The sequence below is a fragment of the Homo sapiens genome, chromosome 4 (genome assembly GCF_000001405.40).
Source record: "Homo sapiens chromosome 4, GRCh38.p14 Primary Assembly".
Lineage (NCBI taxonomy): Eukaryota > Metazoa > Chordata > Mammalia > Primates > Hominidae > Homo > Homo sapiens.
This window is the reverse complement of record NC_000004.12, coordinates 86,342,526-86,356,373: the sequence shown is the minus strand read 5'-3', so window position 1 is coordinate 86,356,373 and position 13,848 is coordinate 86,342,526. Positions and strand designations below refer to the sequence as shown.

Sequence of the window (13,848 nt, the reverse complement as noted above, 5' to 3'; positions counted from 1 at the left end):
TTATTTGATGTTTTGGATCCATATCAAGCCACTATGGCTTTTCTTACAGTTCTTATCTCTGGTGACTATGAGATGTAAAATCCTTGAGGCTTATGGAAATAATGCTAGTAGGAATGGAAATTGAAGTTTTCAATGGAAAAAGAAATGAATACAGTCTCCTGAGAAGCATCCCTAACCACAGCTGCTCTAAAACCCTGCATGGTGTGCAGGTTTAAGGCAAAGCTTCCCTATAAGGCAATTGGGCATTTGCAGTGACCTGCACAGTAATAAACAGGATTTTCACTACCTTGTGTTTGTACACGTGTGTGTGTGTGTGTGTGTGTGTGTGTGAAGAAAAACAAAAACAAAAACAGCAGTGACTTTAAAGTTCTAGAAATTCATCTTAGTGACTTGTCTTCATAGAAATAAAACTGACTCCTGTTTGTCTGTGTTAACCTGCCTGGGTGCCCTATGTGCTTTCTGAAAATGGATTGCTTAAAGCAATTGTCCTCTTCTTATACATTGGAAATAGGATCTGAAAGCATTGATAGTGAAGGAAAGCTCTTAGGTTAGGTCTGTTTATTTGGCAATGTTTATTCAGTGTTTGTAGGCGGAAGCTCCAGCACAGCATTTATATAATATAGTAATTGCCTATTCTTCTATTACCTGTATTCTCTACTAAGGTTTAATCCCCATCAGGGACTGACTTTTTCTGTTTGGCACACAATAGGGACACACCAAATATTCATTGAATGAATATCTCTCATGTACTGAGTTCTCTGCTAAGTGCTATGGTAGAAAAAATTGGGAAACTGTAACACAGTTTCTGCCATTTGGAACCTATACTCATTTGGGAAGATGAGGCTAAATAACAATAAAGATGGTATAAAATCAAGGGCCCATATTAGTGTTTTGATAATGAGTGCAATAGAAATTCAGAGGAGAAAGGAATTTACCTCCTCTGAAGTGATGGTAGGTGACAATGGGGCTACACTGGGGTGTTGGGGTGAGGTGGTGGGATAGTGAGAGGGTGGTAGTCCTAGGAGTAATTGTGAGCACCTGGGCAGGAAAGAAACTCTTACTTGGGGTAAAGAGGAGGCCTATTTTGGGTATGATGACCATATTTTCCAAACTAGAAATAAAAACTTATGGTTTGACATTGGGTAGAATGTTGCAGACTGCCACATATTCTGAAGAATCTTGTCTAATATAATGTTGGGAAGTAACAGGCTATAATGGTGAAAAAGTAGGTTAGTAACTAGAAGAACATAAATACAGGTCTCTTCAGATGAGCTCCAGCTTAGGTTTACTTTCTTTTGCATACTTCAGAGGTTTTCAAAATTCTCCTCCTTTATTGGTACCTATGTAACCATTGTTCCAATGAAATCTTGTATGAAAAGCAGAATATGTAAATCTATGTAATAGTGGAGCTGTCCCAGTTGAGGATGAGTGGGGTGCCTTGTATTAGAAAACCAAATTCATATCACAAGACTAATTATATTAACTGAAATAAGAATTACTAATTTAGTTTATGCTCAGATATTAAAATAGTTGTTCTGGTATTATAACATCAAAGTTCTTGTGCTTGCAATAAATGATGAATAGAGATAATTACCTTGAGATATTTTCTTTCCTCTGCCTACACTCACCCACCCAGTAACCAACTGTCTTTGATGTCAGCTTTTTGGTTTTCTAAATACAAATTTAAATCTTAAAATCAAACTCATCTGTTTTTTGGCTTTGCTTTCAGGCTAGTGTGAGAAACACCAACAGCAGGCCCATCTCAGATCTTCACTATGGCAACTTATGCAAGAAACTGTTGAATTAGACCCGTTTCCTATAGATGAGAAACCATACAAGCTGTGGTGAGTTGCCAATTTAAAAATATTCCTTAGCATGAAAACTAGGATCTATATAGCCAATTTAAATATTGCATATGGTTTTGTACATGGAGCTGGAGAAATACTGCTCCAAATAATTTCGACTACAGAAGTGAAAATCAATAGAACAGAAGTTTAATAGTTGGTGTGGTACTACTAATACCACATACAGTAGTGAAAAGTCTTGAGGTGCATGGGTGCAGCATATAACACCATGATACTACCACCATGGATGATACCTGCAATTAACATTTTCATGTGGCAGAGTAACAGTTGGGTACCATTATTTTTAAGTGACTTTTATTATTTGCAACATTGTACTATATTTTACAGATTCATCTCCTTTAGTAGAAAAATTGGTTCTGAGCTAAATTATGGTTTTCTTTCAGGAACACACACACACACACACACAATTTAGCTCTTCTGAAATAAGAGAAGAGAAATCACAGTTTTATAAAACTCAATTCATGGGCATTTTAGCCTACAAATCCTTTTGCTTAACAAAGCAATGTTAAAAATAGATACAGTTGCTCTGCCTAGTTGGAATGACTTTAAAACTTATTACTTTATAAAAATATCAGCACACACAGGTAGAATGTCTTTTTAAATCAAATACTTGATGCTTCATAGTCACCAAAGTCAATAATCAATAGATTCCAGCAGAGATGAACGAGTTATAATCTGTCAAATAACATCTTTGAGAACTAGAGTATGACTGTGGTGCTTATAAGACTCCAAAAGAAGCTATTTTGAGCTAGTGATCAATATCTTTCTTTCATTTGCCTAGTGGCTTATATAACTGTAGATAGGTAGGCTGCCCTGTGAATTAATGCACAGCCTATGACTGCGGAAGACTGATGAAATTAATCCTAGAGTTATTTCATATAGTGAATTTATAAAACAATTCATAAAAAACAATCCATCTACCATTATATTGAGAAAGCAGATCTAATAGCATCACTATACTGTGCTTAATTAACATGTATTCAATGAGCGTTATAAATAATTTTATGCAATTGCCAATAACAAACTATTTTTGACCTAAAATAAGGGCAATTTTATATGGTTGAAACTAATATATTATGTGTTACTCCCAGTGATGTAGAAAGCATACCATGTTCTCTCCATTCTGAATATTAATTCATTAATCAAACTCTTATTGAGAATCTGTGATGTAGGTAGAATGTTTAGCTTTTGGGGCAGATAAAAGACAGTCCTTGCTTTAAAGGAGCCCTCAGTCTAAAGAGTGGGGTACTTACAATAAAATGTGCTTATTAATGGAGGTAGTTGTGTTCTAAAGAGTGTGGCACTTACAAAGTGCTATTACATGGGTAGGTCTAGAGTGCCAAAGGAAGTGCATCAGAGGAGACTCTACCACGGATGTGGTAGAGATTAGTCAAGGAAGACTTCCCAGAGGAAGGGATCTTTTGGTGGACTATTAAGCACAGTGAAAGGATAGCCAGAGGAAGGGAGGATGCAGTGCACAGTGGGAACATTTTTTAACAGACCCAGAAGCCTGAGAGAGCATGATTGTGTGGGAATACTAGGTATCATTTACTATGCTGAAGCAGAAATGGTAGTGGCAGAGATAAAGTTGAAGAGGGATACAAGACATGTGCCATGAAGGATCTCTTAGACAAAATTAAGGAGTTTGGATTTTGTTTCAAAGTGAAGAGCTTTTGAAAGATTTTAAATAGGAGATTGACATAATCAGTTTATTTTTTAATTGTGAAATATACCATACGCATAGAAGAGTGTATAAAACAAATACTGGTTAAAGAATAATTATAAATCAAACATCATGTAAACAAATCAAACAACATAAAACAAATCAAGTAAATCAAACATGATGTAATAGACTCCCAGCAAACCCCTATGTGTCCCTTTCAGATCACATACTTTTCCTTCCCCACCATAGGTAACCGCTAGCTACTATCCCACCTTTTGTCATGCACATTACCTTGCTTTTCTTTGTAGGTTTTCCATCTATCTGTGCATCTCTAGGCTATGAATCTTAGTTCTGCCTATGCTTCAGCTCCATGTATTTGGAGTTACAGCATGTATACTCTCAATCACCTGATTATTCTGCTAACATTGTGAGATTCTTTCATGTTCATGCATGTAGTTTATTCATGTAAATTGTTGTATAGTATTCTATTGTATCAATATGCCAATATTTACTTATCTAGTCTATTGTTGTTGAACATTTGGATTAAATCTATTTTACTTAATGCTAGTATAAATATAAATATAATATCATTTTTATGTTTATATATATTAGTTCTCATAGTTTCTGATATTTACCGTTTTCTAGGATAAATAGCAAGGGAAGGAACTGCTGAGTTTTGGGGTATGTGCGCCTTTAATTTTACTAAATAATTCCAAAATATTTTCCCCAATCAGTTGCATCAATTTACATTCCCAGCAGCAGTATATGAGAAACTCTGCATTCTCACCAACACTTGATTTACAAGTTCTTAAATTTTGCTAATCAGGTAGATACATAATTGTACTCATAAAAGTATTAATTTGCATTTTGCTGATTACTAATGAAGAAGAGCATCTTTCCATTTTTTGTTTTTTGGTAATTTGATTTTCGTCTTTTGTGAAGTACCTGCTCAAATCTTTTTGAGATGTGTCTTTCAAAATGATAACTAACACTTATTGAGTTCTCACTGTGTAATAGGCACTATAGTAAGTACTTTACAAATAGTTCATCTTCCTAGTATCCCTGTAATTTAGAGGTAAGGAAACCAAGGTTTAGAGAGGTTAAATCAGTTGCTGACAATCACATAGTTAAGGAACAGTGGACTTAGCATTCAAGCCCAAGTCTTTCTGACTCCAGAATTCTTCAGTTTCTCGGTGTTTGGAAGGGGATTTGGTTGGAACCAGGGAGAACATCTAAGGTGCTATTGCAGGAATCCAGTTAAAAAAATAAGTGCATAAACCAAAGAATTGCTAGTAGGGCATATGTAACAAACAACTGGACTTGGTAATGAATGTGGTGGGCAAACAAGAGGAAGGATTTTTAAAGTCTCAAGTTTTAATACCTGTCGGCTAGGTAGATTCAATATTTGTCATAAAATGTGTGTGTGTGTGTGTGTGTGTGTGTGTGTGTTTGTGTATACACACTGTATATATATATACACACACACATTGTATGACTAATGTTGTAATATATTGTCATCCTTTGTACATATATTGTACAATACATTGTCATATATATATTGCGTGTGTGTGTGTGTATATATATATATATAAAATACAGATATTGTGGTAGGTACTAATAATTCATTTTATAAAGTCCAGGTATTGTAGGTACTAAGAGTACATTTTGTGAATCTACAATTCAATGAGATGAATTTAGTTCACAGGCTCATAAATTTTAGGGTTTAAAGCAATGACACTGTTCATTTGGGTCAAATCTTCACTTTTTTTTAAAGATATGGAAGCAACTGCTAAGGAGGGTAAGTGGCTTGTCCAAGATCACATGTTTCTAAGTGTCAGGTTAAGAATAGATACGATGCCTGCAAAAAAATGCAAAGAAATAACAACCACCTGATTTTTAAATTAACGAGTGATGACACAATCAACCTATTCTATTTCCTAACCATTTCTCAGACAAGTCCTTTTTCATCTAAATCTGTTGTTACTGCCATAATTTAGGTCCTCATCATCATCTTTGGCAGGTTTATTTAAGTAGCCTAGCATACTATCTTCTTGTCCATTATTCTACCAGTGAAGCCACCAGACTTGTTATTTGATTTGCAGTTGTTACCGTATAATTGCCCTACTTAAAGAATTTTCAATATACTCTGTCATCCATGTAATAACTTCCCTTTTCCTTAAGACATGCCATACTTCTGGCCAGGTGGGTGGCTCAAGCCTTTGTAATCCCAGCACTTTGGGAGGTCAAGGCTGGTGGATCAGCTGAGGTCAGGAGTTTGAGACCAGCCTGGCCAACATGGTGAAACCCTGTCTCTACTAAAAATACAAAAATTGGCCAGACGTGGTGGCTCACGCCTGTAATCCCAGCACTTTGGGAGGCCGAGGTGGGCGGATCACGAGGTCAGGAGATCAAGACCATCCTGGCTAACACGGTGAAACCCCATCTCTACTAAAAATAGAAAAAATTAGCTGGGCATGGTGGCGGGTTCCTGTAGTCCCAGCTACTTGAGAGGCTGAGGCAGGAGAATCACTTGAACCTGGGAGGCAGAGGTTGCAGTGAGCCGCGATCGTGCCACTGCACTCCAGCCTGGGCGACAGAGTGAGACTCCGTCTCAAAAAAAAAAAAAATTATCTGGACATGGTGGTGGGCACCTGTAATCCTAGCTACTCAGGAGGCTGAGGCAGGAGAATCGCTTGAACCTGGGAGGCAGAGGTTGCATTGAATCGAGATTGCACCACTGTACTCCAACCTGGGCGACAGAGCAAGACTGTCTCGCACACACACAAAACAAAAAATGATATGTCATACTCCCATCCATCCCCATTTTAGATACTCTTGACCTTTTAAATTGCCTGGAAACACCAGTGTGCTTCAGTCTCATCACATCTACTCAGGTGTTTCCTACCTCTGTGATTTACTTCATGCTGTTTATACTGCCTGTATTCACTCTGCACAGCCCTTACTTACTCCTTTCCATCCTTTAAGACGTTTGTGACTCTATGATGGTCTGGGGGCTAGCAGCATGGACATCTCCTGGAGCCTGATAGAAATGCAGCATCTGAGGTCCTACTACTCAGACAGACACACTGATTAAGAATCTGCATTTTCACAAGATTCCTAGGGGATTTAAATACATGTTAAAGTTTGAGAGTACTGTTTAGAATCACTTTAGATTTCATAAGATTCTATCTCCTCCTGGAAACCTCTCAGATCCCTTTCATCCAGCATTCAATCATTCTTGGTGTTCTCACAGTAACCTGTGCATTATCTACCTCACTGTATTACCATAGTATCTTATTATCTGTTTATTATCTGTTTGTGTCTGCTTTGCCTCCCACCTTAGCCAGGGGGTATTTTGAGCAAGACTCATCTTTGAATTTCTTATACCTCATACAGCGCCTGACACTTGATAGGCACTGCATAAATATTTATTGAATGATTGACAAAAGAAAGAAGAATGAGAAAGAGATTGATATACAGAAAGAAGCAGAAGCAGGACAAAGACAGACACATGAAGAAAAAAACACATAGCTAAAGAGACTTCCATAGAGACAAAAGCAGTTTACACAAAGGCATCACAAATTCTGTCTCTGGATACAATGTGGAAGGCAGCCTGGCAGAGAGTCCATAATCTTATTTAAATAGGTTAGGTAATAGCCTATGTTGTTTGCCAATCTCTCAGAAGAAAAATTTAACTTAATTGCTCATTTAACAGCATTGTTTTTTGATGATTGTTATTAAGTAAATTTTTCCAAAATTTGCCTTACTTTCCTAAACAAACTGTTGTTCTGTCATTTTTACTATTCAGAACCTGTTGGGAATATTATGTGTAGCTTTTAGTGCCCTCTATTAGGAATGACTTTCATAAAATGAAATGAGTCCTGAAGATTTTGTTGAGGATGGTGAAGATATAGAAAACATATCTTGTGGTGGACAGTCAAGAAAAATTATAGTGTTTTGCCCGGAGAAGAGAAATGAAGAGGAAAGATCGAGGTGGAGGGTGGCAGCGCTAGAGAGTGAAAGAGAGTGCAACTTACCAAGCAACTGCCTTCAATATTTAACGGCTTTCATATGAAAGAGGCTAGAGGATGCAGGATTGTTTGTAAGTTGTACTGAAGGCAGAACTAAGAGACCAAAGAGTAGATAGTAGGTACTGCACATAAATTTTTTTTTTATTATAAGAACTGTTTGAGCCTGTGCTTTTTGAAAAGTAGTAAAGTTTTCATCACTGAAAGTATTTAACCATCTTCATGGTTGACCAAGTATGAAGAGCTTTTTAGAGATGATACTACTTTGTGTGGGAGATTGAACTAAATGACTGTAGGATCTAAGGTCCCTATTACTTATGAATCTATAGTTATTCAGAGAAGTACAGGAAGAATGGGGGTTATAATAAAGAACTACAATAGTGGCTAACATTTATAGAGTGCCTACTTCATGCCAAGCACTGTTCATAGTGCTTTGCATGTCCTAGTTCACTTGAGCCTGACAGCAATACTACTGAACATTCCTATTTTATAAAAGGTGAAGACAAGGCACAGATGATTTAGTAATGTGCCACCGGTCATGCAGCTAGTGGTGCATGATTCTGACTCTGGAGCATATGCTTATTACTGTGCTGTCTTCTTTGTAGTGTTAAAGATGAATATTGGACCTAAATAGAGCCTTAAAATATTGATATGGTTTGAATTCCAGGTAAGTATATGGATAAGAATTCCAAGGAATAGTAACAGTAACAATCAAAGTGAAGAGAAATAGAAATTAGCATAACAGATTTGTGGAATCAAATACCTTACAAATGAGATGAATAAGAGAATATTCAGAAATGTTTAATTCTGTGGTGCTGTTCTGTCTTGCTTCTCAATGGCTGCAGCAGTTACCAAGATGGGAAATTAAATCTTTAGGAGTATTTAACCTGGTAAAACCGATATAAGTAGCCCCAGACTATGTTCTGAATTTTGTGTTCCCTCCAAATTCTTATGTTGAAGTCCTAACCCCAAGGAGATGGTATTAGGAGATGGGGCCTTTGAGAGGTGATTAGGTCATGAAAACAGAGGTGATTGGGATTAGTGTCCTTATGAAAGAGACCCCAGAGAGCTAGCTAGTATTTTCCACCATGTAAGGATACAGCAAGAATGCACTGTCTATGACCCAGAAAGCGAAACCTCAACAGACACCGGATCTATTTGTATCTTGGACTTACCAGCCTCCAGAACTGAGAAATAAATTTCTGTTGTTTATAAGCTGCCAAGTTTATGGCATTTTGTTATAGCAGCCTGAATGGACTAAGACACTCTAGTATTGTATAAAATTTTTACAAACTTTTTTCCTCCACTGATTGGTAGAACATGTAGCTATGTGTCTTAGGAAGATGGGGCTGTCACTGTTTGAGAGTTCCCAAGTAATTTGATGCCAGATCAGGAGCACAAATTCAATGCTTTCTCTTAGAAATTGGGATTTTCCTGGAGTTTATTTGAAGACTGAGTAAGCATCTGCAAAAATTTTAGGTTCTTCATAAAGAATTCTCTGTGTTTTGATAACCAGTATCAGAGGAACTAGTATTAAAATCAAAGTATGAGATTTTAATGAAAAATTGGTTAACATAACAAAGCTATTCAGGTTAAGACTTGAAAAATTTAGTGTATAGTTTAACAGCATTCATTTTATGTGATAATTTATTATTTGCATTGTAGATACCATAAATTTAAAGTTTTCTTTCTATTTGTACTTTTGGAGGGCCCAGGTGGTTTGTTAGTGCTTTAAATCCTGAGACTGACTTTTAAGCTCTTTCAAATTTGACTGGACAATCTTGATAGTACTGCTTTCAGAAAGTCACTTATAAATCTTAAGAATGAATGCAATTCTACTTTGGAGTTTAGTCTATTAAGATATATATAAATCTTAATAAAGATACTCTTTTATATTAAGACATATGTGTGTGTGCACACACATGAGTACATATATAATATTGTACTCATTCCCTGCCAAAAAGATTGAATAAAATATATTTAGCAAAAACTACGTGAAAAAGTGGGTAGGAAACAATTTAAGCTATACAGCTGTGTTTAAACTGTGTGGGTCCACTTAGATGTGTTTTTTTTTTTTTTTTTTTCCAAACAAACTTGGGTTAAAAATACAGTATTCCTGGGATGTGAAACCTCCAGATACGGAGGGCTGACTTTTCCTATAAGGCTGATTGTTGGACTTGAGTATGTGTGGATTTGGTTAGAGACCTGAGGTCCCGGATATACCAAGGAATGACCATATTTCATCTTTTGTGAGTTTCAGACTAATATAGTTAGCCCTTTGTGTCTGCAGTTTCACATCCGCAGATTTAACCAACCATGGTTTGAAAATGTAGTTAGGCCTATGATGGTTATGTCTGTACTGAACACACACAGACATTTTTCTCTTGTTATAAACAATACAGTATAATAACTATTTACATAGCATTTACCTTGTATTAGGTACCATAGGTAATGCAGAGTTGACAAAGTATATGGGAGGATGTGTGTAAATTATATGCAGATACTACCATTTTATATAACGGGTTTGAACATCCTTGGATTTTGGTATCCTCCGGGGTTGTCCTGGAATCAATCCAGTGAAGATAGCTTGTGACACCTTTATATCATGTCATATGTTTGTTTGACTATCCTACTATCCTGTTGCCAACCAGGGTTCAGGTTAACAAAGTGAAGCATCACAGGCAATAAGCTCTCATTCATTGCACTTATTGTAGTTTTGGTCCTTTGTATAGATGTCTGACTCTGTGTTATAATTTAAGGAACCAAAACACATTCTGTTTTCATCTATCTCTGCTTCTGAATCTGATATCATGTATAAAATTTCCACTTGTTCTTTTAGTTGAAGACTTCAACCATTGCTATTCAAACAGAAATGTTATGAGGCAAATTGATTGGCTTGCTAACCTGATAAACTAACTTGAATTAAGGTGTGAATTGGTCGTAATGGATTTTGGATCATAGGTACTAAAACCACATTTGAATAAATATGGTGCATTAAAATAGCAGGACACTGCAGGAATATATAGGAAAAGTTTTTATATGGAGAGGGAATCAAGAATTGTCTAGAGCGGGGTGTTTTGTTCAAGATTTTTATATGGAGAGGGAATCAAGAATGGTCTAGAGCAGAGTGTTTGTTCGAGTTTAGAAGATTTATTCATATAGTTTCTGGAAAAGGAAGAGCCCTTGAAGCTAGATTTTTATCCCAGCTATGTCATGAATTAATATTCCCTTGGGCAAGTCTTAATTTCTAAAGTGACTAAGACACCAATAGTTTCACCGAGTATATTGGAAAATCTCAGTACAGTTTAGAAATCCTGATTTCTAAAGGTGAATTTTAAAAGATTTCTCTCATAAGTAATCAATGAACAAATATTTGTGCACACCAGTTCTTCAACAGCAAAGAATAATTTCAAGATAAGACAAAGCTGAGCTTCAACTGTATATGAGAGAATTGTAATAGATGGTGTCTAAATTTCTTTAATTGTAAAAATTATGTGGATTAAGTTGCACACAGATTGAATTAAAGAATGAGATGATACCTAAGCGGTCTCATCCAAGTGGGGTACCTTGGTGAGGGAAGCCTTGGCTAGTGAAGGACTCCATGAGGATGCAAAGCAGCTACGAGGGGAAGAGGGGGCTCAGAAGGCTATTAGAGAGGGACTTGCTAATGCACAATTTTGCTTTAACTTTCCCCGTTTTGTTGTCTTCAGCTTAATTCTGCCCATTCTTATTTACTCTGAATCAATAAATAAGATATTTTAGCTATAGGAAGTCACTTCTAATTATTAAAGATGTGCTAAACATAAGGAAGATAGTTTATGCATAGCCAGCCAAACTGACTATATCAATTTTCCAGGTTTGCATCATTCTTTATCCCAAAATTATCCTTTGCTATTGAAAGACTAGTGTGCACAAGTATTTGTTTATTAATTTACTTATAAGAGAAATCTTTTAAAATTTGCCTTTAGAAATAATGATTTCTAAACTCTACTGGGATTTTCTAACATATCAGGTGAAACTATTGGTGCCTTGGTCACTTTAGGTATGATATCAACATAAACACATTTACATGAAGTTAACAGACATTTTCAATGGGCAGATTACTGTGGTAGAGTCTTGGAAGATTAAATATCACACAGTTCCTTCCTCCCTCCCCTCATATTCCCTGCTTCCCTTCCTTCCTCCCTCCCTCACTCCCTCACTTCTTCCCTCCCTCCCTCCCTCCCACGAATATTTACTGACTGTTTACTCTGTACCAGGTGCTGCAGAAACAAAGATAAATTTCACTTTGTTTCTAAGCAGCTCACTATTAAAGTAGGGGGCTTTGGAGGTGGGGAGAGAAAGAAGAAAATCTTGTGAATAAATCCCACACAGTAGGATAGTTTCTTTGATAGAAGTTGAGAGCAGGCATAGTGGCTCACACTTGTAATCCCAGCTCTTTGGGAGGCTGAGGCAGGATCGCTTGAGCCCAGGAGTTTGAGGCCAGCCTGGGCAATATAGCAAGACACTGACTCTACGAAAAAATTAGCAGAGTGTGGTGACATGTGCCTATAGTCCCAGCTACTCGGGAAGCTGAGGGGATAGAATTCCTGGAGCCCTGGAGGTTGAGGCTGCAGTGACTGTGATAAGCACTCCAGCCTGGGTGACAGAGCAAGACCCTGTCTCTAAACTCAGCTTCTACCCAGGCATTCTCAAATGAGGTTCTGCAGAGAGACATGAGCCCACTGCCCTCAGGCAGTAATTCTCAAATGTTTTAGTCTCATGATCCCTTTATATTCTTGAAAGGTAATGAGAAACCTAAAGAATTTTTGTTGTAGCCACTGGTATTTACCATTTTATAAATTAAAATATAAAATTGTAAATATTTATGTAATTTATTTAAAAATCAATGATTGTAAACCCATTACATGTTAACATAAATAGTTATCTTTTTATGAAAACTACTTTTAAGAAATAAAAATAATTTAGTGACAAAGTGGCATTGTTTTACACTTTTGCCAATCTGGTTAATGACTGCTTTAACAGAAGGCAGCTGAATTCTCCTATCTACCTATTGTTTCAATTTTTTGTTATACTATACATCAAGTCACCTTTGGAAGACTGCCATATACCTGTGAGAGTACGAGAGTGACAATGTTGAACCATGTCTTCATATTATTTGGAATTAGTTTTGACTAATTTGGGGGCCACATGAAAAGGTCTTGGGGACACTCAGGGGTCCGTGAACTATACTTTGAGAACCACTCCTAAAAAGTATCTGTTGTATGTAATGAATAAATGTCTCTTTTATGCATCTAGCATGGCACTATTATGTAACACCCTTGAAAAAATCGAGAAAATAGTGTTTTGCTATTTAGATAAGGTACCATAAATGAGGAAGGCTGCCAGACTATAAGCCTCACAAAAGCAGGGATGTTTCTCATTTTCACCCATTACCTGTCACAAAATCTGACATAGAACCTGACTCTGGGAATCTCAGTGACAGAACGTTCTAACAAGAGGGATGTACTTTCATAAGTCCCTGTAGTCCTAGGTAGAATGTGGTGAGTGTTACAAATAAGACTAAACATGGAGGAGCTGGAGGAAGCAGTCCTTTACAGATGGTAGGTCAGGAGGTCTTCATGAGGAAGACAGCACTGGGGTGGAAATGCGAACATATTTTGATAGTGCTGGAGTTGGAAAGGTAATTTCTGGAAGAGGGAACAGAATGATCAAGGAGCAGAGTGGGTTTGGAGTTCAGAAGTTTAGGCTTGCGTGGCTTATGCATAGGGGACATGGCATCAGAGACATGGCTAGGAAAATAGATTGGGGCCAGACTGAGGGAGGCCCTGAATGATCTGTGAAGGAATTTGGGGTCTGTTTCTATAGATGATGAAGAACCTCTCCTTTTTTTCTAAACTGGTTTAAGAAAATGATTCTGGCAGTAATGTTGGTTTGAAGAAGAGAGGTAAGAGAGGCAGGATGAGCAGTTAAAAGGAAGGAGAGAGAGGGAATCCAGCTTGAACAAGAGGCAGTAAAAATCTGAGTAGGAGGGTCTCATTGTTAAAGAAGGCCCCAATGTCTCAGATAATTTGGAGTAAGAAGCTGTAAATGAGAGAGTTTCACTCAAGGGCAGGAAAACACTGGGTTCTTTATGATTTCATTCTAGGCTCAGCTACAGTCTTGCTAAGCAATTATGCACAGGTCCTTTAGCTTTGGTTTCTCCATATGTAAAATGTAGAAATGGATTGCTTGCCTTTTTGTGTCACAGGAGTCTGTGTAAGGATTAATGAGCTCTGACAGGAAGACACTT

The 13,848-nt window shown here is 37.0% G+C and overlaps 1 protein-coding gene across 14 annotated transcripts in view; it reads left to right on the top strand.

Moving 5' to 3' along the window:
• MAPK10 (mitogen-activated protein kinase 10) overlaps window positions 1–13,848 on the top strand; it is a 583,670-nt gene that overhangs the window by 237,701 nt on the left and 332,121 nt on the right. For 9 of the 14 annotated variants that reach the window (NM_002753.6, NM_138982.4, NM_001318069.2 and 6 more), the window contains one exon: window positions 1,730–1,844. The exons of the other annotated variants lie outside the window; for them this stretch is intronic. The gene's annotated coding sequence lies outside the window, so the exon portion shown is untranslated. Of the gene's footprint in view, window positions 1–1,729; window positions 1,845–13,848 lie in introns of those variants that run through there. 14 annotated transcript variants of the gene reach the window in all.